The 24,746-nt window shown below is 36.9% G+C and overlaps 1 protein-coding gene and 1 long non-coding RNA gene across 4 annotated transcripts in view, besides 1 other annotated feature; one reads left to right on the top strand and one right to left on the bottom strand.

Annotated features, from left to right (window-relative positions):
* LOC105378808 (uncharacterized) overlaps positions 1-16,796 on the bottom strand; it is a 32,591-nt gene extending 15,795 nt beyond the window's left edge. The window contains exons 1-2 of one of the 3 annotated variants that reach the window (XR_001738109.2): positions 16,663-16,796; positions 15,323-15,528 (exon numbers count right to left, since the gene is read on the bottom strand). This is a non-coding gene — a long non-coding RNA (uncharacterized LOC105378808). Of the gene's footprint in view, positions 1-2,646; positions 15,529-16,662 lie in introns of those variants that run through there. The other 2 variants (XR_007066176.1, XR_007066177.1) reach the window with 2 other exon arrangements.
* An 89-nt stretch (positions 16,797-16,885) lies between these two features.
* The window catches only part of PIGK (phosphatidylinositol glycan anchor biosynthesis class K), a 130,442-nt gene continuing 122,581 nt past the window's right edge, over positions 16,886-24,746 (top strand). The window contains exon 1 of the mRNA NM_005482.3: positions 16,886-17,006. Coding sequence (NP_005473.1) covers positions 16,914-17,006 — 93 coding nt within the window. The 5' untranslated portion in view covers positions 16,886-16,913. The remainder of the gene's footprint in view (positions 17,007-24,746) is intronic.
* Positions 17,093-17,202: an enhancer, noted in NCBI's record as "active region_1214". NCBI's record gives its function as "activates an Ori minimal core promoter by ATAC-STARR-seq in GM12878 lymphoblastoid cells {active_cell/tissue: GM12878}" and the evidence as "EXISTENCE:reporter gene assay evidence [ECO:0000049][PMID:35858748]".

Genomic DNA, 24,746 nt, shown 5'->3' with positions numbered 1-24,746 from the left:
AACTCTCAATATTGCTGCATTGGGAATCAAGTTTCCAACTCGTGAACTTTGAGGGACACATTCAAATCATAACATAGGCATTTTTATTACTACCATTTCATATATGAGGAAACCAAAGCTCAGAAAGAGTATATAACCTGCCCAAAGAGATACAGCTAGTAATGTCCAGCTTAGACCAAAACCCAAGCAGTCCTTACTCTAGTCGCTGCCCTTGAATCACTATGCTACAACAGACTCAAGAGACCTATGAGGAGCTCTAGTGATTCTGTATTCAGCACTGGCCTCCATAAACAGTAATTTATGGTGATTATATGTAAGATTGTTAGGTTCAAGTTTAGAAATTCAACAAATAGAAAATTGAGAAAAACACTTCTAGTTAAGACTCTTGGTCTTGGGGTCCTTAGAAGGGGCCCCACACTTTAGGTATGCTCCTTAAACAATAAGAACACCAAATGCACAAATAGAAAGATTAAGACATACACATAGAATAATACAATTTTAGATGACAACTGAAGAGGCCAAAACCATTAGGGTAGCTCACAACCTCCTTAAAAATCATTATGGTCATGAATTTCTTTTTGATGTCTAACCTAAATCTATCGAACTAAAATTTAAACCCCTTACTTCCTTAAGCATGAAGGATGACCATTTGCTCATTCATATATGTTCAAGGAAACTATATAAAATGGTGAGTGTAACTCTGCAAGCAAATAGTAACATTTGGGTAAATTCAGGTTCCTTATTGGGCAGAAGTTTTAGGCTGATGAAAAATTTTGTGAGTCTCAATTTCTCAGTAGTTGATGAATCTGTCAAGTGTTATTATATAGCCAACACTAAAGGTCTAGGTAATGATTATGCACACGGATGGCCCATGCCCTTCTACTCTTCTCCTTCTCACTGACTGACTGCTCCATATAATTGCTTGGTTTATTTGCAACTAAAATCTATCCATCTTGTTAATTGTTAGCAGACATGGTTAAAAATATTTGTTAGGAGTTACAATAACACTTAGTCAAAATAAAATTATATATTCTACAGTTATCTTTTTAAATATCCCCACTTTTCTGATAGACTCATATTGCTTTTTTCTCATATACCATGTCATTTTTAAAAAAGATTCATTCTCTTAATTTAGTCCTTGCCAATTGTCTATTTTTAGTGACAATCACGTGATCTGTACTTTTTATTGATGTCTTTCATTTTTAAATAGAATTTTTTTTAGCAGTTTAGTGTTCACAGCAAAATTGAGCAAAAAGTACAGAATTAACATATTCTCCATGCTGCCTCACACACACAACCATTTCCACTATCAACATCCCTCACCACAGCCATAGATTTGTTATAATAAATGAAATTACACTAACACATCATTTTAACCCAAAGTCCATAGTCTACATTAGGGTCCACTCTTGGTGTTATACATTCTCTGGGTTTTGAAACATGTATAATGAAATATATCCACCACTGTAGTATCATACAGAACTTTTTCCTTGCCTCAAAAATCCTCTGACTTCTGCCTATTCATCTCTCTCTCCCATCCAACTCCTGGAAACCACTGACCTGTTTACTGTCTCCATAGTTTTGACTTTCCCAGAATGCGATATAGTTGGAACCATACAATGTGTACCCTTTTTAGATTGGCTTCTTTCACTTAGTAATTATGCATTAAATTTCATCTATGTCTTTTCATGGCTTAACAGTTCATTTATTTTTAGTATTGAATAATATTCCGTTGTCTGAATGTACCACAGTTTATTTAGCCATTCATCCCTTGAAGGACATCTTGGTTGCTTCCAACTTTTGGCAATTATGAATAAAGCTGCTATGAATATCTATGTACAGGTTTCATGTGGACCTAAGTTTTCAGTTCATTGGTTAAATACCAAGAAGTGCAATTGCTAGATTATACGGTAAGATTATGTTTAATTTTGTAAGAAACAGCCAAATGTTCTTCCAAAGTGGCTGTAGCATTTTGCATTCCTACAAGCAATGAATGAGAGTTCCTGTTGTTCCACATTCTTGCTGGCATTTGATGTTTTCAGTGTTTAGGATTTCAGTGTTTAGGTCATTTTGATAGGTATGTGTGGTATCTCATTGTTCTTTTAATTTGCATTTCTCTAATAACATATGATGTTGAACATCTTTTCATATACTTATTTACCATCTGTAGATCTTCTTTGGTGAAGTGTCTGTTCAGGTCTTTTGCTTATTTATCAGGTTGTTTTCTTGTTGCTGACTTTTATAAGTTCCTTGTATATTTTAGATAAGTCTTTCACCAGATGTGTCTTTGGAAATATTTTCTATTTCATTGTTTCAATCTAAAATTATTCTGTGATTTCTAGAGTTATTCCTCTCTTCAATTAGTATTCTTTATTCATTGAATTTCTTTGAAAACTCATTTGTGTGTATATTTATTTAACAAATATTTATTAAGCACCTTTTAGCATTGTCCTAGATCGTGGGAATACAAGATTACAAAATGAATAAGACCTTTGATGTCTTTGGCTGGAAATAATTCAATCTGTCCACCATGTGAGATAATATAATAGATGCCACAATAGAAATACATGTAGGGCGTTATGGGAACAAAAGAGAGTTGCAATCCTTTTGGAATTGGTAGGGTCAAATGAATAACAACCATAACAATTAATAATATTTGAGATTTATTCATTGAGTTCTTACTTTGTACTTACGACTATGGCCAAGAGGTTTAGGTACATCTTCATATTTAAAGTTAACGATAACTCCATGAGGTATGCATACTTCAATTTTATTAAATTAAGGATTTCTGGTCAATGAAGGGTAACATAGAAAAAGTTGAGGGCTGGGCTCCATGGCTCACGCCTGTAATCCCAGCACTTTGGGAGGCCGAGGTGGGTGGATCACCTGAGGTCGGGCATTCAAGACCAGCCTGACCAACATGGAGAAACCCTGTCTCTACTAAAAGTACAGCAATTAGCCGGGTGTGGTGGCACATGCCTATAATCCCAGCTACTCGGGAGGCTGAGGCAGGAGAATCGCTTGAACCCGGGAGGCGGAGGTTGCAGTGAGCTGAGATCGTGCCATTGCACTCCAGCCTGGGCAACAAGAGTGAAACTCTGTCTCAAAAAGAAACCAAAAAAGAAAAGAAAAGAAAAGAAAAAGTTGAAAGACCAGGACAGAGTGGGGAGAACTTATCTGAAATATATAAAGCCAACAAAAGATTAAATATCTGGACTATGTGAGGAATCACTGCAAATAGACCAAAAAAGGGATAGAAAACACAACTTAAAAATGGGTAAACAGTATGAACAGGTAATTAACAAAAGAGGAAATCTGAAAGGTTAACAAGCATATGAAAACATGTTCAAAAGTATTAGTAATCAGATAAATGCGTATCTGAACTATCACTTTTCCCCTATTAGAATGGGAAAAAAACAAAAAAGAGAAATGCCAAGTGTGGGGATATAGGAATCCTCATGCTCTTCTGGTGGGAGTTTAGATGGAGATTTGCTTTTAGAAAGCAATCTGGCTCCACCTATTCAAATTAAATATGCCTATCTTTTAACCTGGCAATTCTTTCTTCCTTGCTCAAAGAACCCAAACTCCTTTTCTGAAGCAACATCACCAGCCCTCTTGGACAAACAGTGATTGATCTTGACTAATTCTAGCAATCCTGTACTGTTTGTCAGTGATTGGTCTGGAAATGGGCATGTGACCAAACCCTGGACAATCAAATATTAGAAGCTGTCTTCTAGGAGGCTACTAAGAATGTGTTCCTTGATAAAAGACAAGCATATAATATTTGGAGCTTCAGCAGACATTCTGCTACCATGAGAAACAAATCAGAATCCCAAAGCCAATATACTGAGGTGGCAGAGCAGGAGGGCTATTGAAGAAGTCATTGCGTTTGCACACCTACTTTGAAACAAGCTTTCAGTGGACTGCTAGTCTTGTCAGTTTATTAAATAACCTTATATCTTAAGTCACTTTTAGTAGGGGTTCTGTTACTCATGGGCAAAATCATCCTAACTGATTCAGTGCTCAAATTTTTGTTGAACAAATACAACTGTTACAAACATCACAAAACAAATTGTTCTCTTTGTCCATCTCCCTTTCTACCATAAAAGAGGTTAAAGAGGAAGAATGAGTGCAGATAACATAATTCTAAAAAATACTTGATTATGAAAATGGCTATCTATATTAAATCCTGTATTAGTTTCCTAGTGTTACAATATAAATTATTGCAAACTAGATTGCTTAAAACAACAGAAATTAATTGTCCCACAGTTCTGGAGGCTACAAGTTTGAAATCAAGGTGTTTTCAGGTCTATGGGCTCTCTGAAGACTCTAGGGAAGATATCCTTATTTGCTTCTTTCCTGCTTCTTGTGGCTTCTGGCAATCCTTGGCATTCTGGTTGTAGTTGCATCACTGTAATATTTTCCTCCATCTTTACATGGCCTTTTTTTTTTTCCTGTTTATGTCTGTGTCCTTTCCTCCTCTTATTAAGGACACCAGATATTGGATTTAGGGACCACTATAATTCAGTATGATCTTATATTAATCCTTACCTTGATTATATTTGCAAAGACTCTATTACTAAATTTGCTCACATTCTGAGGTTCTGGGAGTACATGAACTTGGGGGGAACACTATTCAACCAACTAAAAATTCTAAATATTTTATTGCATTTGTAGAAAGAATATCTGAACTTCAAACATTCCATTTTCATGACATTCTCAATGATATGTTTATAGTATCTTCTATTTGCAATTTACCTAGTAATCTCTGTCATATACAGTACATAACTTCTCATTACATCATTGTCATTGTAAGTCAATTCTACATTATGATACATTTTTTGTTAAACATAGTCATATTTATTCTGATTTTCATTAAAGGACATTACTGCTCTAAGTGTTACAGACACATAAGTATACTGGAAAGCAAGCAAACAACAAACAAAAAGGATCAAGTAAATAAAATTTTTAACAAAAAAAATTTAACGTAATTTCACGTAGTGATTTTTGGTGGCATGACATTTATTAATAGGCTCTCTATTTTTATTTTGTTTTTTTTTCCAGAGATGTTAATCATTAACTATGAAATCATTAGTGCCTATTCATTACAGAGATGTTATTCTCCCTGCTCTTGTGCTGAAAGTAATCCCAAACCATCATCTGGAAAATTACTACTCATCTGGAAATTATAAGAGAAGATTCTAAAGTTGAGAAATTTGAAATTCTTAATTTTTAGTACCCAGTGATACAGATTTCATCTATGAAATTCTTTTGAGAAAAATTCGATTAGTGATACATTTTATGTCGATTTCAAAATAATTCTTGTTCTTTGCTTCTTCATTTGTGTTTCTTAGTTTTGGTTGGATAAAAACAGAACTTCAACTGGCAAAGACACCGGGTCTTATTTCTGTCAAGGTCAATCAATATTAAGGGCCTATCACAAGCTTTTTTTGATAGATTGACAACCAAAAAGTATTAGATCTAATAGTTTAATAATGTGAGCTCTGGATACGGAAGATATTTAACCATTATTATTTTACTTTTTTGTCTAGTGGCCTCAATTTATTCACTTAAATATTTCATTTGCCTGAAGTGCTTGAACAAGAGAAAAAAAAGTCTGATCATTAAACTGAATTTGGCTAAATCAAGCAGAAAAAGCAGACCATTTCCAGCACTGAGCAGCTGCTGTTACCAGATATAAAAGGATAGAGAAATGTTAACTATTTCTTTTTAAAAAAAATTTAAAATGTTCATTTTTCTCCTGATAAAAAGGGGGTATGTCCTCTTTGTAAAAAATTTTATTTCCTGTCTCTGACTGGAAAATTCTCATTTAATTCCAAGCTGAAATTCCTTAGGAAAGCATTCCCTGACTACGTTATGTTGCCCTAGTGCATGGTGATTTCAGTCTGTATCTTGCCTATATTGAACTTATTACAATATAATTAATTAATAATTTGTCTGATCATCTGTTTAATCTGCCTTGTTCCATGAGGGCAGAAATTGTGTCTCTCTTATTCCCCACTGCATTCTCAGTTCCTAGCACATTCTTTAACACAGAGTAGATGCTTAATGAATAACTTGAGTGACTCAGAGGATAAATGAAAATAGAACATGCACACTCTTAATACTCAGGAAAAACAACTGGATAACATTTTAGTAAGTTTCCTTCTTATTTTTTTTCTATTTTTTCATGGTTGAACAATTACCCTTTATACAATTTTCTACACTATCTTTTCACTTAATATTAGCTACTTCTGCTCTTAATTATTTTTATTTAAGAAGCAATATAGATCCATAATAAAACCAACATAAATCCATGATAACAGTTCAAATAACATGAACAATGGAGAATAAAAGTCCTCTTCAACTCTGATCTTCATTTCCAAACCTCTAGGGAGTAACCACGGCTAACAGTTGAGGTACCTGTATTAGTTTCCTATTGCTACCATAATAAGTAACCACAAATTTAGTGGCTTAAAATAAAGCAAATGTATTACCTGGCACCTCTGAAGGTCTGAAGTCCAAATTGGATTGGTAGAGCTGTGTTCCTTCTGTAGACTCTAGGGAAAAATTAGTTTCTTTGTCTTTTCCAGCCTCTAGAAGCAACAGACATGCCTTTGCTGGTGGCCCTTCATCACTGTGACCACTGGTTTGGTCTTCACATCTCTTTCTCTTCTCTGACCCCCTTGCCCTCCTCTTAAAAGAACCCCTGTGATTACATTGGGCCTATCCAGATAAGTCATTATTATCTCCTTATCCCAATATCCTTACTTTAATACATTTGCAAAGTCCCTTTTGCCATATAAGGTAACATATTCACAAGTTCTAGGGATTAGGACATAGACATCTTCAGGGAGCCACTATTTTGCCTACCATGGTACATTTCTAGCAATTTTCTATAAAACACACACATTCCTCCCTACCCTTTCCATTATTCTAATATCTTCCTAAGAGAGATCTTTCAGGATGTCCCATACTTTACAATATGTGGTATGATTAAAATATCTACTAAATGTCCCTGGGATTTCAGAGTGTCACAAGATGCTTAACGAATAAAATCAATGTACAACTGAATAAAAATCAACTGAATAAAATTAATTGCACTTGTAGAAAATTCTCAGCCTCATGTAGAACTAAACTCTCTATTGATTGGCTTTATGCCAACAGAGCTGGTGGTTTCTTGTTTAACAATGGAGGACTATACTCTTAATGAGACAGCAAGTTTTACATTGCTAAAGCATTTGACATGGCTTTATGTTCAGGTCATTATGGCATTTTATAATAGCACAGGATTTCAAAAAATGAGACTTTGAAGGGCAGTTGCTCTATTCTTGTATTGAAGCACTGTTATTATGGCTTAGTCTGAAGTTAATGAGAAGGTCATGAGATGGAAATGGATTATAGCAGAATAACAAACTATTGTTAAATGGCTCACTGGAAGGAGGGAAGAAAAGTATTTCAGGCCAAACTGAAAAGGAATTTAAGGTGGTGCAATATCAAGATCATGATAGGAAATACATATAAATACAAGGAAATGGTATAAATACACTAGAATGAAAGCCCTTTGGCTTTACTTACTTTTTTCTACTTGTATTTTATTACATATATACTTTCCTTTTACTGAATTTTACCTTGCTCTGAAAACCATTTTTTTTTGAGATGGCGTTTTGCTCTGTCACCTAGGCTGGATTGCAGTGGCACGATTTTGGCTCACTGCAGCTTCTGCCTCCCAGGTTCAAGCGATTCTTGTGCCTCAGCCTACCGAGTAGCTGGGATTACAGGCACCCACGACCATGCCTGGCTAAGTTTTGTATTTTTAGTAGAGATGGGGTTTCATCATGTTGGCCGGGCTGGTCTTGAACTCCTGACCTCAAGTGATCCACCCGCTTTGTCCTTCCAAAGTGCTGGGATTATAGGTGTGTGCCACCATGTCCGGCCCCCAAAAACATTTTGACTGTTAGATATGAAATGCTTCCATAAAATAGTTTTGGCACAGATTTTTGTAGCAAACAGAATTGCCTATAGCAATATATAGTATTAAATATATTGTAAAATCTCTCTCAGGGTCTATATTCTTATCCTGATTAAATGTATCTTTTCCACTTATTTTATTTTGTAACAACATTTATTTAGCAGTCACAAAAGTATTTATAATAGGTTTATGTAAATTTTCCTTTCAAATAGCTCTGGATAAATATTTAAACCAGACTTCACTTGTATATAAATCCTAAACCTGCTCCACTTCCTGTGGTTCCTATGCTTTAAAAAATGGCACTGCCATGCATTCAGTTGTACAAGCCAGATATTTAAAAGTCGTCCTTGAAATTGTCCTCTCTCTTACTTCCCAAATATAATCCATCATCATGTTCTTTGAGTTGTAATTCTAAAATCCCTATTGGTTCCCTCCACTTTTCATCTCCACTCTTAACACTCTGGTCTAAGCTACCATTGCCTGGACTGTGGCAGTGGCCTTTTAAATGCTGTACCTAAAGCATTTCCCAGTTCTCCTCATTGGAAGCAACATAATCTTTCCCACTGTGATGCTTTCTTTTGCCCTTAGGATACAGACCAAAATCTAACCTGACCCACAAGTCCATGGAGAGAGGTGGTACCTGCTTAGCAATTCAGCCTCTCCCCTTAGCAATTTAGCACTCTCCCCTTTGTTTTCTGAACTGCAAGACCAGTGTAATTCTGTAAGTTCCTCTAATAAGCCAAGCTCTGTTATGCCACACGTCTTTGGAAGGGCTGTTTCCTCTGCCTTGAAAGCTCTTCCTTCTTCTCCGTATCTACCTCATTAACTCATTAATTTCAGCTCAGTCCATTTCCTCAGAGAAACTTACTCTGATTTTTCTTAAATGGTCTCCTATTAGAATTTTACATTTCTATAAATGCTTCTATTATTAACGTCTGGCTCCCCTGGACTGTGTGTGAGCTCTGTAAGGCCAGGAACTTGTTCAATTTTTGCTCTCTCCTGTATTGCTGGTGCCTAGCACAATACCTGGTACATAGTGCTTAATAAATATTCATTGAGTGAATGAGTAACACAATTGTGTTCCTGGTGCATAAGGAAGCAGAGGGAAAAAGAGAATTAAAAAGAAGATATGGAAGGGATATAGGTAAGAGGAGGGGGCAAGAATAAAATAAAGAGTGATCTAATTGTGATCTTAGATTCTGTAGGGTCAATCTTAAGTTGTCATTCGATTGAAGAACAACAGTAAAAACAGCATGGATAGGCTTTGTGGCATGACTTACTGTGAGGGTCAGTTATAAAAACTTTTATTAGAGAAGCCAGAAATATATATGCGTGTGTGTGTGTGTGTGTGTGTGTGTGTGTGTGTAATTTTGATCAATCAAATACTCATATTTGGTTTTAGTTGCCAAATTGTATTAACTCACTTAATGAATATCTCAATAATAAATTAATGAATAACTAAATTGAGTTCTAGTTTAAACGCAGACTATGGTTAACAATTCTAACCATACAAATTATAAACAATGCTATCTCATATACTCACAGATAAAAGGAATTATTATTTCCAATATTGAATCGTGTTTACAACTGCTCATGTCCTTCATTTAGGTAGGAAGCTGCCTCTATCCTGCACTTGAAAATCAGCAGTTTAATGAAACAAACAAACAAACAAATAAAGAGGAATACAAATCTACTTCTTTAGCATGATAATGAGTATTCTAATCCAATAACTAATGATAAACTTAATGAAAAGCTGCTAAAACCTTAATTTTAAAACAAAAACAAAATAAAAAAAGCTACTTGCTATCAACTTTATAAATATTGAGCCATAACAAGCTGTGAAAAAGAAATCGAGAAAGAATACTATAAAGGGACAAAAAGATAATTGACAGACATTGTAGAACTAGAAAAGTCCAGTCTGTTGAACAAAAGTTTTTAAATAATTTTCATTATTAAAATAATTCTTATTAAAATAATGAAAGAACAGTTGGACATGAAATATGATCTGTATATTGGCAATAACTGATTTGAATATATAATGAATATTACAGATATTACACACATATATAATAATTTTTATATATTTCCTACCAAATAAAAAAATACATTAAGTGTTTTAACGAATGTTAAAAATACTTAGGAAATAGTTTAATCATCGATATCTGTGGCTTAAAGTTTTACTGAAAATAATTTTTTTTTTGAGATGGAGTCTCATTCTGTCGCCAGGCTGGAGTGCAGTGGCGCAATCTTGGCTTACTGCAGCCTCCGCCTCCCGGATTCAAGCAATTCTCCTGCCTCAGCATCCTGAGTAGCTGGGACTACAGGTGCACACCACCACGCCCAGCTAATTTTTTGTATTTTTAGTAGAGATGGGGTTTCACCATGTTGGCCAGTCTGGTCTCGAACTCCTGACTTCAGGCAATCTGCCCACCTCAGCCTCCCAAAGTGCTGGGATTACAGGCGTGAGCCACTGTGCCTGGCCAAAAATAATTTTTTAAAATCTCTCAAATAAATAGATCTCCATGTTCTCAGATGAGAAGAGTAAATATAAAGATGTCAGTTTCTATTAAACTTATTAATAGATTTTGTATAATCCCACTAAAAATCCAAGTAGCATTTCTTTTAACTTGAACAAATTTGTGTAAAATTTGGTTAGAAAATTTTCAGGTGAAATCAATAATTTTGTGAAAAATGAAATAGCAAAATGGTTAGCCCTAATGGTTAAATATTAGGACATATTAAAAGCAACAATAATTAACATGGCACTGGCCTCAAAATAGTTGTGTAGAAGGAACAGAATACCTAGAAATACCGCCTTTTTCTTTTTTTTGAGACAGTTTCGCTCTGTTGCCCAGGTTGGAGTGCGGTGGTGCGATCTTGGCTCACTGCAACCTCTGTCTCCCAGGTTCAAACAATTCTCGTGCCTCAGCCTCCCAAGTAGCTGGTATTTTAGGCATGTACCACCACGCCCAGCTAATTTTTGTATTTTTAGTAGAGATGGGGTTTCGCCATGTTGGCCAGGCTGATCTCAGAACTCCTGGTCTCATATGGTCCACCCGCTTCAGCCTCCCAAAGTGCTGGGATTACCGGCTGCACCCAGCTGAAATATTCTATTTCTTCTAACAATTTCATAAAGGAATATCACAAGGAAATGGGAAAGGTAAGGACTATGTACAAAATTTTTTGAATAACAACACTGATACAGAATCTGTGTCCCCACCCAAATCTCATGTGGGGTTGTGATCCCCAATATTGGAGGTGGGGCCTTGTGGGAGGTGATTGGATCGTGGTGGTGGATGAGTGGATTACTCATGAATGGTTTAGCAGCATCTCCCTTGGTACTGTCCTCAGGATAGTGAGTTCTCCTGACATCTGGCCATTTAAAAAGTGTGTATCACCTCCCTCCTCTCTCACTGCTCTGGCCATGTGACGTACTGACTCCCACTTTGCCCTCCACCATGATTGTAAGTTTCCTGAGGCTTCCCCAGAAGCTGAGAAGATGCTAGCATCATGCTTCCTGTACAGCCTATGGAACCTCTTTTCTTTACAAATTAGCCAGTCTCAGGTATTTCTTTACAGCAATGGGAGAACAGCCTAATACAAATACCAGTTTTGGTAAAAATAGTGGTAGATCATTATAGCAATGGCCTCCTGGGAATCCTGTTTCCTGGTATCCTTGGGATCTGGAAGCTTGGAAACCTTGCATCCTTGGGCTTGGACACATCACAAAGTTTTGGGTGGTTTGTTATGTAGCAATAGACAATTCACATATTATCTTATAGAACATACAGTAGCCCTCCCTATTTGTGGTTTTGCTTTCCATGATTTCAGTTAGCCATGGTCAACTGTGGTCTGGCAATAGGTAAGTATGGCAGATTTTGAGAGAGAGAGAGATCACATTCACATAAGATTTATACAGTATATTGTTATAACTGTTCAATTTTATTATTATTTTTGTAAATATCTTACTATGCCTAATTTATAAATTAAACTTTATCATAGATACATATATGTAGGAAAAAACAGTACATATAGGGTTCAGCGCTATCTGTGATTTCAGGTATCCACTGGGGGGCTTGATACATATCCCCCTTGGATAAGGGGGACTCCTGTACCAAAATATATTCCAGATAGTTAAACGTAAAATTAACACAAAATAAAACTAGTAAAAAATAAATATTAGAAATGTGCCACCCGCAGATGTTTGCATCGCTAGTTCTTTCTTGTCATTCAGGTCTCAGATTTCACACCACCTTTGCAGAGAGGTTTTCACTGACCACCTCACTGAAGTAGTGTCTCCCTCTCCCTTCAGTTTCTGTCATCTTACCTTATTTGTATCACCATGAGAATTTATTGTATTCATTTTTCTTTTTTCTTATTGTCTGTTTTCCTTACTGGAATGTAAGGTTCGTGAGAGCAAGAACCTCCTATGTATTTCCAGCTACAATATCCTGGTATGTTATGTCAACTAAAGAAAAAAAAACAGGCTTTTAAATAATTAAAGTTAATTTTATTCAGAAGTCCTACTGAGTACTGCAACCTGGGAGAATCTTTCAAAGAGTTTGTTATATTGCTGCAAAGCATTGATTCACCCCATAGCTTAAACATAGGTGGTGGTTGCTCTGCATGTGTTAAGAAGTTACATCAAATGTGCTCAGAAATTACATTAATGACATGGTTTGGCTGTGTCCCCACTCAAATCTCATCTTGAATTGTAGCTCCCATAATCCCCATGTGTCAATGGTAGGACCCGGTGGGAAGTAATTTAATCATGGGGGCAAGTTTTTCCCCTGCTGGTCTCATGATAGTGAATAAATCTCAGGAAATCTGATGGTTTCATAAAGGGCAGTTCCTCCGCACATGCTCTCTCTCTTGCCTTGCTGCCAGGTAAGATGTGTCTTTGCTCCTCCTTTGCCTTCTGTCACGATTGTGAGGCCTCCCCAGCCATGTGGAACTGTGAGTCCACTGAACCTCTTTTTCTTTATAAATTACCCAGTCTTGGCTATTTCTTCACAGTAGTATGAAAATGGACTAATACAGTAAATTGGAACTGAGGTAGTGGGGCTCTGCTATAAGGTTAACAGAAAATGTTGAAGCAACTTTGGAACAGGGTAACAGGCAGAGGTTGGAACAGTTTGGAGGGCTCAGAAGAAGACAGGAAAATGTGGGAAACTCTGGAACTTCCTAGAGACTTGGAGGGCTCAGAAGACAGAAAGATGTAGGAAAGTTTGGAACTTCCTAGAGACTTGTTGAATGGCTTTGATCAGAAGGCTAATAGGGATACGGACAAAGAAGTCCAGGCTGAGGTGGTCTCAGATGGAGATGAGGAACTTGTTGGGAAATGGAATAAAGGTCACTCTTGCTATGCTTTAGCAAAGAGACTGGTGGCATTTTGCCCCTGCCCTAGTTATCTGTGGAACTTTGAACTTTAGAGAGATGATTTAGGGTACCTGAGGGAAGAAATTTCTAAGTGGCAAAGCGTTCAAGAGGAAGCAGAGCATAAAAGGAAAACTTGCAGCCTGATGACGTGATAGAAAAGAAAAACCCATTTTTTGCGGAGAAATTCAAGCCTGCTGCAGAAATTTGCATAAGTAACAAGAAGCCACATGTTAATTACCACGACAATGGGAAAAATGTCTCCAGGGCATGTAAGAGGTCTTCCTGGAAGTCCCTCTCATCACAAGCCAGGAGGCCAAGGAGGAAAAATGGGTTTATGGGCTGGGCCCAGGGCCTTGCTGCTTTGTGCAGTCTCAGGCTGCTCACATGTGATATTGGGACTGTGGGTGCACGGAAGTCAAGAATTGAGGTTTGGGAACCCTGCCTAGATTTCAGAGGATGTATGGAAACACCCGGATGTTCAGGCAGAGGTGTGCTGCAGGGGCAGGGCCCTCATGCACGACCTCTGCTAAGGCAGAAGGGCAATGCAGAAGGGAAATGTGGGGTGGGATCCCCCACACAGAGTCCCCACTGGGGCAGTGCCTAGTGGAGCTGTGAGAAGAGGGCCACCATCCTCCAGACCCCAGGATGGTAGATCCACCAACAGCTTGCAGCATATGCCTGGGAAAGCCAGAGACACTCAATGCCAGCCTGTTAAAGCAGCTGGGAAGGAGGCTGTATCTTGCAAAGCCACAGGGGCAGAGCTGCCCAAGACCATGGCAACCTACCTCTTGTATCAACGTGAACTGGATGTGAGACACGGAGTCAAAGCAGATCATTTTGGAGCTTTAAGATTTGACTGCCCTGCTGGATTTTGGACTTGCATGGGCCCTGTAGTCCCTTCATTTTGGCCTATTTCTCCCATTTGGAATGGGTGTATTTACCCAATGCTTGTACCCCCATTGTATTTAGGAAGTAACTTAACTTGCTTATGATTTTACAAGCTCATAGGCAGAAGGGACTTGCCTTGTCTCAGATGAGACTTTGGACTGTAGACTTTTGAGTTAATGCTGAAATGAGTTAAGACTTTGGGGGACTGCTGGTAAGGCATGATTGCTTTTGAAATGTGAGGACAGGAGATTTTGGAGGGGCCAGGGTGGAATGATATGGTTTGGCTGTGTCCCAACCCAAATCTCATCTTGAATTGTAGCTCCCATAATCCCCAAGTGTCAAGGGAGGGACCTGATGGGAAGTAATTTAATTATGGGATCAGTTACCCTCATGTTGTCATGGTAGTGAGTTCTCACGAGCTCTGATGGTTTTATTTATCTATCTATTTATTTATTTTTATTTTATTTCATTTTATTTTTTGAGACAAAGTCTGGCTCTGTTGCCCAGGCTGGAGTACAGTAGCGTGATCTTGGCTCACTGCAACCTCTGCCTCCCAGGTTCAAGCGATTCTCCTGCCTCAGCCTCCCTAGTAGCTGGTATTACAGGCATGTGCCCCCACACTGAGCTAATTTTGAAACATGGGGTTTTGCCATGTTGGCCAGGCTGGTCTTGAATGCCTGACCTCAGATGATCTGCCTGCCTCGGCCTCCCAAAGTGCTAGGATTACAGGTGTGAGCCACTGCACCTGGCCTCTGATGGTTTTATAAAGGGTAGTTCCTCTGCACATGCTCTCTCACCTGCTGCCATGTAAGATGTGCCTTTGCTCCTTCTTCATCTTCTACCATGATTGTGAGGCTTCCCCAGCCATGTGGAACTGTGAGTCCACTAAGCCTTTTTCTTTAGAAATTATGCAGTCTTGGGTATTTCTTCATAGCAGTATGAAAATGGGTTAATACAAGTAAAGTCTCATCAAAGTGTGGGTATGAAGTTACATCTGGTCATGAATTTGAGGCATAATCATTAATCTTGTCAGACATTATCTTATGTACAGGAAGAGGCAAGGGCTAGGATCACCAAACTTACCTTTTGTAAAAATTCAGTGATTCAGGCAAGAGATGTGCAAACCTATTCCCTATCCTGCTTATGGTCTTCAAGGCATTCTTCCACAAGGCTGCTCACAGTCAATGAGTCAGGGGCTTTGTGAAATATTGCTGGCAAAGGAGCAGAATGAGCAAATGGCTTCTTATCTTTGCTACTTTGTTTCATAATCATCAGCATCCAATAGATATCTGTTGAATTAATGAATACATGGAAGATATTCTGGCAGTGTATTTACTTTCTAGGATTCACGTAACGGAAAACCTAAATTTGACTAAATAGCATGAAACCTCTCACAAAGTGCAATAGCAAAAGAAACAAATAAAAGGAAAAGAGAGACAAGAGAATGGGAAAAGCAATAGCATAAAATATGGCAAAGGCTAATGTTACTTATTTATAAATATATTATTCAAATTCATATGCAAAACATAAATATATAAACAAAGAATTTACATCAGAGGACACAGAGATAGTTTAGAAACACAAGAAAGACATCAGATCTTGATAGTAACCAAAGAATTATAAGTATAGTTACCTAGGGGTAACATTTCATACCAAAGAATTTAAAGGAAAAAAAATGGTATGGTTTGGTGTTGTGTATTCTGATAGTGCTGTAAGCTTGTTCATTTTGGAAAGCAACATCATTTATAGTTATTAAAATGTTTTGGAATATTTTGACCCCAAATTCCTAGTTCAGGAAAATTATACAAACAAAATAATTCAACAGATTTAAAAAGCCAAACACACAAAAGATACTCTTTACAATATTATTTTCATAGTAAAACTTAAAAACTTTGCATTGTGCAGCAGAGGGACAATTACTTTGGCTGAGGCATCAATAATGGATGGAATTTTATCTCACCATTAAATGTTAAAATTGTGAGGAAGCAGCGTGGAAACGTTTATGTCATACTAGATGAAATGCATAAATTAAAACTGAACTCACATAATAAAGAGAATGGTGGACCATACATATACACCAGCTGTGTCTCTTCCAGATAGGCTTTAGTTCCATAATTACAGAAGATACTCAAGAAACAAAAACGTAACTAGCTTCCCATGTTAATCCTTTCACCAGGTAGTAGACCCCAAGCCTCTAAATTGCAGCGCCCACCCACATTTTCCATTTATAGTTTATCCAATTAATCATCTTTTTGTGCCAAAACGCTTGTTCTTCCCACCACATCCAGCTTCATATTTTCAAAGAATTGGCAGCACTCGGCAAAATAAATAAATAAATAAATAAATAAATAAATAAAATAAATAAGGGAACAGAGAAATAAGTTTTTAAAGTTTAAGGAGTTACGGGTTTTCCCTCCACTCACCTTTCAATTTTTTTTCTTAAATGTTATACCTATTTTACAACCTCCAAACTGAAAATGCAGTTAAAAATAAAAAGGTCAATATCCTGCGTCTACCTTGTCCCGGACTCTCGAGCTCCACAAAACCGCAGAGTTCTAAAGCCGGACCAGAGGGCCACCTCGAAGAGGCGCGGATGGTGTCGCAAAAACCCGCAGCGCTACTTTACGGCACTGCCTCCGCCCCTTCAGGTGCGGGAAGTCTGAAGCCGGTAAACATGGCCGTCACCGACAGCCTCAGCCGGGCTGCGACTGTCTTGGCAACTGTGTTGCTCTTGTCCTTCGGCAGCGTGGCCGCTAGTCATATCGAGGTAGGAGTCAGGCTCATTTGACCACAGCCGGGAGGCCGGCTGTGAGCCCTCCAGCAGATGTCCGATACACAGTAGCTGAGGGACGCCTCCTGGAGTCAATCAGCCCCTGACCCAGGCTGGGTTTGAGGAGGGTATCACTGGGCACGGGTTAGGACACTGTTGGTCTGTTTCAGCGTTTTAAAACGATGAATTGAAATAATCAAACCCTCGGAGACAGAGGAGGACCTGATCCTTTGCTCCTACATGTGTGCAGTTCTTAGGTGAAATACGAGCAAGAGGCTCGTGAAATGTCAGTGTGCAGCAACTGCTTTCCTACTACTCAACTGCAGCCCTCTGTTTTGATAGGAGTCAGACGGAACTGGAGAGATGAGGGCAATTTTAAGAATCCAGATAATAGAATTTAGTGATAATTAGAACATGGGATAAATATAAGTGTTTATTAAAACTCTCAAGTTTCTGGCTTAGGGGCAACACGTCTGGGTTAAGAAATGGAAGAGAAAAGGGGTGCTTAGTTTTATCCTGGGCTCCTCCAGCTTCCCATTTTTAAACGTGGACACAGGATGTTCTGGTGCTCTATAATGCTTTTACTATTCACCATACTCTGATGATTCCTCAGTCCCGGTCTACAATCTAGATGTCTGGTATCTTTTTCAGGCCTGCATATCCAGCTGACTAAGAATCCGGGATAGTCAGGAGACATTTGAAAATCCGTGTGCAAAGTTTTATCTTCTGCTTATCCTACCTCCTCTTAAAAAGACACTGAAAAACTAAGCACCCCTTTTCTCCTCCATTTCTCAACCAGATGTGCTGCTCCTAAGCTAGAAACCTGAGAGTCTTAATCTCTTTATCCCATATTCTAATTATCACTAAATTTTGTGATCTGAGTTCTTAAAATTGCCCTCACCTCTCCAGTTCCACTGACTTAATTCAGGCTGTGATCACTTCTTGTCTAGACTCTTGCGATTACTTTATCTTGTTTTCCATAGGCCTCCATACTCCCTGAGTTTGGTGCTAGATTCGTCTACACGAAATGTAAGCCTGATCAGGTTATTCTTCTGATGAAATCTTTTAAATATTTATTAATTGCATACAGAATAAAGTCTAAACGTTATGACCTGGTGCTTGCCTACTTTTCCAGTGTTCCATATTGGAACCTCTTCTCCCCACCACCTGGGCACCTTGAGCTTAGACCAGTGGACTCCAAACTTTTTGAATACACACCCTATCAGTTAAAAAAAGATATTGAGCATGAACTTCATATATATTTATGAATTACTGTTAATTTATATATTTGATGTTTATATAGCATAATTTTTAGAGAACATAAATATGAGTAAATAGAAGTTCTGTTTCCCTCCTTTATTCTAACTTTGACTGCTTCATCTTGGATACTATTACTGTTTTTTGTAGTTACATAATTGCTGTGCTTTTTCACATTACAATATTTTATACATTGTGTTTCCTCTGTTCATGTGCTAAGATACAGTAAAGGCATAACCTCTGTAGAACGTTTCCCTATCTCTTACCTTTGCCTTTACTCTTGTAATTTGTACACTTGATACAGCACTCATTTACTATAACCCGTGTATGGTTTGTACTGTTATTCCATCATATCTCACTTAGAGATAGGAGCAACAGTTTCCTAAATGTTTTGCCTTGAGTCGTTGTTTTTTCCTTTCAATCTGTTCTCCAAATTGAAGCCAGAGTAACTTTTAAAAATGCAGTTCCAATCATGTCACCCAGGGACCTTGATGTTGCTCAAAAGATCACCTTAATGTTGCTCTAAACTCTCCACCATGACCCACAAACAAAAACCCTGCATATTTTTTGGGCCCTGACTACACTTCAAATTTTTTCTTTCTCTTTCAAACTTCTAGTTAGGCTAACTTTCTTTCAGTTTCTCAAAACCTTTAAGCTTTTTCTCACATTAGAGCTGTCTCCCCTCTGTCTGGAATTGTATTTCCTCTTTTCTTCATCTTTTGGATTTTAACCCAACAGTCACTTCTTTAGGAAAACTTTCCTGACCAGGTCAGGTCCCTCTGTTGTACTCTTATTATATTGTGTGTCTTTCCTTATCTGTTAAATGTATATCTATCCAATTAGATAGTAACCTATTTGAAGGCAGTACTATGGCTATTTTTGCCCAGCATTGTATTTGGAGCACTCAGGGCAGTGACTGGCATGTTGCCCAATGAGTGTGATGAATTAATGAATGTAATAATTATAGTGTAATGTGTTTGCATGCTCCTCTTTATTGAACTCTGGATTCTTGAGAGAAAGCAGCATGCTTTTTAGTGATTTTTGTATCACTATATATTAATGGTATCTGGCACATAATAGGTGCTGCATTTACTGTATGTAGAATGAATAACTTTATAATGACTGTATTGTCTAGACAACCACAAAAAAGTTTTGCCATCTAAATTTTTTCACTAAGGTCTGAAAGAAGTAAGAACTTTGGAGGTGGAAGGCACATTAGAGACATGAGGATAGTCAAGTCTAAAGAGCTAAATGACTTACCGCAATTTCACAGCCAGTTGCGAGATAGGACCTAAATTTTAGCTTAGGTCTTTGAATTCCCAAATCAATGCTTAACCACTGTAGCACATTGCTTTCTTTAACATCCAGGCAGCTGTTGAGTTTGGAGGGGGAAAAATACACACACACACACCCCCCCACACACACATGCCACACACACACTTTTTGTTCAGGTTATTATTCTATATTTATCATGTCAATTTATCAGAAACAATGCTTAACAATAGACAACCCATTATAGTTTCATTTAATGTGAAATACTATGTTATTGCCTTGCTAAATTAAGGGTATTTTATCCTAGCCATAGTAATTTCAGAGATCAGTTTTTTCCATCTCTATTGGTAGTTAACGTAAGAATTAACTTGTATTACTACAGCAAATGATATTCTAATGAAAATTGATATTCTTGAGGGTTACATGTACACTCTAAAATCTGTTAATGATATTTCACAAATCTCCAGAAATAGATACTTTACTTTCTGACCAATGTTGTATTCTCTTTAAGCGATGCCTCTCTTTTTGTAATATGTATATTTTAATTGGCACAATAATTGTGCATATTTATGGGGTATATAGTGTGATATTTTCAGACATATTCAATATGAAATGATCAAATCAGAGTAATCAGCATATCTGTCACCTCAAAACTTTATCATTTCTTTGTGTTGATAATATTCAAAATGTTAGAAAAGATTTCTAGGTAGTTGAGAAAATATAATAAATTATTGTTTACTATAGTTACTCTAAAGTGCTATAGAAGGCTAGAACTTATTCCTGCTATCTGTAATTTTGTATCTGTTAACGAATGTCTCTCTGTACTCCCCCCGTCACCTTCCTATTCTTCCCAGCCTCTATTCTACTCTATTTCCATGAGATCAAGTTTTTAAAAATGTCCGTATCTGGGTGATATTGAAATTAAAAAATTTAAATTTCTGTGCCTGACTTATTTCACTTAATGTAATTTCCTCCAGGTTCATCCACGTACCTGTTTATGAAAGGATTTTATTCTTTTTATGGATGAATAATACTCCATTTTATATATACACGTGTGTGCACGCACACACACACATTTGCTTTATCCATTCATCTACTGATAGACACTCAGGTTGATGCTATATCTTGGTTATTGTGAATAGTGCTGCAATAAATATGGAGTGTAGATATCTCTTTGGCCTACTGGTTTCCTTTCCTTTGAATATATGCCCAGTAGTGGAATTGCTGGATCATATGGTAGTTTTATTTTGAGTGTTTTGAGGAGCTTCCATACTGTTCACTATAGTGGCTATACTAATTTACATTCCCACCAGCAGTGTATAAGAATTCCCAATTCCCTTTTGTCTACATCTTAACTAGCATTTGTTATTTTTTTGTCTTTTTGATAATAGGCACTAAGATGATATCTCATTGTGGTTTTGGTTTGCATATCCTTGGTGATTAGTGATATTGAGCATTTTTTCATACACTTGTGGGCCATTTGTATGTCTTTTGAGAAATATCTATTCAGATCCTTTGCTCGTTTTTAATTAGATTATTTGGTTTTTTTTGCTGTTAGCATAAGTTTGAGTTCCTTGTATATTTTGGATGTTAATCCCTTATTGGATGAATAGTTTGCAAATATTTCAGGATTGCTTTTCTATTTCTGTGAAGAATATCATTGGTATTTTGATAGAGATTGCATTGAACTGTAGATCACTTTAGGTGATGTGGTCATTTTAACAATACAGTATTTATTCTTCCAATTCAATGCATGGAAGCATTTTCATCTTTTTGTGTTCTCTTCATTTTCCATCAATATTTTGTAGTTTTCATTGTAGAGATTTTTCACTTCTTGGTTAAATTTATTCCTAGGTGTTTAATTTTTCTGTAGTTATTGTAAGTGGGATTGCATTCCTGATTTTTCTTCAACTAGTTCATTATTGGTATATAGAAACGCCATTGATTTTTGTCTATTGATTTTTGAGTCTTGCAACTTTACTGAATTAGTCTTATCAGTTCTAAGAGTTTTTTGTGGAGTGTTTAGGTTTTTCTAAATATAAGATCATGTTGTTTGTGAACAAGGACAGTTTGACTTCCTCCTTTTCAGTTGGGATGCCTTTTATTTCTTTCTCTTGATTAATTGCTCTGGCTAGAACTTCCAGTGGTATGTTGATAAGAGTGGTGAGAGTGGGTATCCTTGTCTTGTTCTAGTTCTTAAAGGGAAAGATTTCAACTTTTCCCTGTTCAATATGATGTTGGATGTGGGTTTTCATAGATGGCCTTTTTGTGTTTAGGTGTGTTCCTTCTATACCCAATTTGTTGAGAGTTTTTATCGTGAGGGGATGTTGAATTTTATCAAATGCTCTTTCTGTGTCTACTGAGACAGTCATATGTTTTTTGTCCTTCATTTTGTTGATGTGATACATCATGTATATTGATTTGCAATTAACACTACTCTATTGTGGTGTATTATCTTTTTGTTGTGCTGTTGGATTCAGTTTGCTAGTATTTTGTTGAAGATTTTTGCATCTATGTTCATCACGGGTATTGGCCTGTAGTTTCCTTTTTTTTGTTGTATGCTTGTTTTCTGGTTTTGTTATCAGGGTAATGCTGGCCTCATAAAACAAATTGGGAAGAATTCCTTCTTCAGTTTTTTTGGGATAGTTTGAGAAGAATTGGTGTTAGTTCTTTAAAAGTTTGGTAGAATTCAGCAGTGAAGCCATCCCGTTCTGGGCTTTTCTTCATTGAGGGACTTTTATTACTGCTTCAAGCGCATTACTCAGCCTCAGTCCATTCAGGTTTCTCTTTCTTCCTGATTCAGTCATGGTAGCTTGTATGTGTTCAGGAATTTATCCATTTCTTCTAGATTTTCCAGTGTATTTGTGTATAGTTGTTTATAATAGTCTCTAGTGATTCTTTGTACTTCAGTGATCCATTTGTAATATCTCCTTTTTTGTTTCTGAATATATTTATTTGGGTCTTCTCTTTTTCTTAGTTTGGCTAAAGGTTTGTTGATATTGTTTATTTTTTTAAAGAGCCAGCTTTTTGCTTCATTGACTTTTTTTGTATTTTTTAATTCTCTTTTGTTTATTTCTGCTCTGATCTGTATTATTTCTTTTCTTATTTTGTGTTTGGTCTGTTCTTCTCTAGTACCTTGAGATGTGTTATTAGGTTAAATCTTTGTACTTTTTGATGTAGGCGATTATTGCAATAAACCTACCTTTTAGTACTGTTTTGCTGTATCTCATAGGTTTTGTTATGTTGTGTTTCTATTTTCATGTATTAAAGGAAATTTTTAATTTTCTTATTAATTTCTTCTTTGACCCATTGGTTGTTCAGGAGCGTGTTGTTTAATTTCCATATATTTGAACATTTTCCAAAATTTGTCATGTTAATTGATTGCTAGTTCTTTTCTATTGTAGTCAGAAGAGATTTTTGACATAATTTTGATTTTTTCAAATTCACTGAGGCTTGTTTTGTGCCTACCACATGGTCAGTCTGTCCTGGAGAATGTTCCACGTGCTGACGAGAAGAATGTGTAATCTGCCATTGTTGGAAGAAATGTCCTGTAAATGTCTGTTAGTTCTGTTTGCCTGTAATCCCAGCACTTTGGGAGGCTGAGGCGGGTGGATCACTTGAGGTCAGGAGTTCGAGACCAGCCTGGCCAACATGGTGAAACCCTGTCTCTACCAAAAATACAAAAATTAGCTGGGTGTGGTGATGCACACCTGTAGTCCCAGCTCCTCGGGAGGCTGAGGCAGGAGAATCGCTTGAATCTAGGAGGTGGAGGTTGCAGTGAGGCAAGATCATGCTACTGCACTCCAGCCTGGGTGACAGAATGAGACTCCATCTCAAAAATAAAATAAATTCAATGTTTCCTTGTTGATTTTCTGTCCAGATGATCCGTCCAATGGAGAGTGGAGTGTTGAAGTCCCCACCTAGTATTGTATTGTGATCTCTTCTCTCCCTTTAGATCTAATAACATTTGATTTATACATCTGGGTGCTCCAGTGTTGGGTGCATACATACTTATAATTGTATGCTCTCTTGCTGAATTGATTCCTTTATCGTTGTATAGTGACCTTTGTCTCTTTTTTATAGTTTTTGATTTAAAGTCTTTTATCTGATCTAAGTACAGCTACTCCTGCTCCCTTTTGTTTTCCATTTGTGTGGAATGTCCTTTTTCATTCATTCACTTTGTCTATGCGTGTTTATAGGTGAAGTGAGTTTCTTGTAGGCAGCATATACAATACTTGGGTCTTTACACTTGTGTGTGTGCTTGTACACACAGGTACAGATGTGTGTACAAGTGGAAGTTTAAATTTATTCTCCCTGAAATTTTCTTGTTAGCTCAAAATTAAAGCTGTTAATGTTTTTCAGACTAGTAGTATGTTCCAGTCACTATTCCTACATTCTCTGAGTCAGATAATATTATTACTGTTTTATAGATGGAGATTTGGAGGCACAGAAAAGTTAAAGAACTTTCCTGTTTATACACCTAGTAAGTAATAGAGCCCAGATTCGAACCTAGACATTCTGACAGGTCTAGTAATTAATGTTTGGGAGCTGATCTGAGGTCAGTATGGCTTATATCCACTATTATTTTAATATATAATCAAAATCATGTTCATTAGGTGTCAGGATGGTGTTAGAAAATTTTAGTGTCTTGAGATGGCAAATATAATTTAGACTTACTTTAATAGATTGGTGAAGTGGTCCCTGGCAGAATGCTAGAGGATGTGCTCAATCAGCTATATTGGTGAGTTCAAATAAAGTACCTAGTAAGAATGGATACTGAATGAAATTTTTAACAGGAAGCATATTAACTTATGTGTAGAATGAAGACATGAAATAAGTCATTCACAATTACAGGACTGAATGGAAAATTAGAAGCATATGAAGAAGACCTGTCTGTGTTTGAGAAAAAATGTTTAAAAGCAATCAGGCCCCTCTCTCTTTCAATTATATCTCCCAGAAAAAAAAAAAAAAAGAAAGAAAGAAACCTCAGCAATCTTTATGGGTGTTGTAGCACATTTGTCTGATCTTTAATTTTTAATATTGTGACCAATATTAAAGAATTGGTTAACATAATTGCAGAGATTTTAGAGAATCAACTGAGATGACTATTAAATGATTAAAGGATTAAAAAGATGTCTATGAGAAGTTCAAAGAGTGATAATTTTGTTTTTGTTGAGGATGTAGGGAGATTATATCTCACAAGCAATT

Source organism: Homo sapiens, chromosome 1, assembly GCF_000001405.40.
Source record: "Homo sapiens chromosome 1, GRCh38.p14 Primary Assembly".
Lineage (NCBI taxonomy): Eukaryota > Metazoa > Chordata > Mammalia > Primates > Hominidae > Homo > Homo sapiens.
The sequence above is the reverse complement of the archived record's forward strand: the minus strand, read 5'-3'. Positions and strand labels throughout refer to the sequence as shown.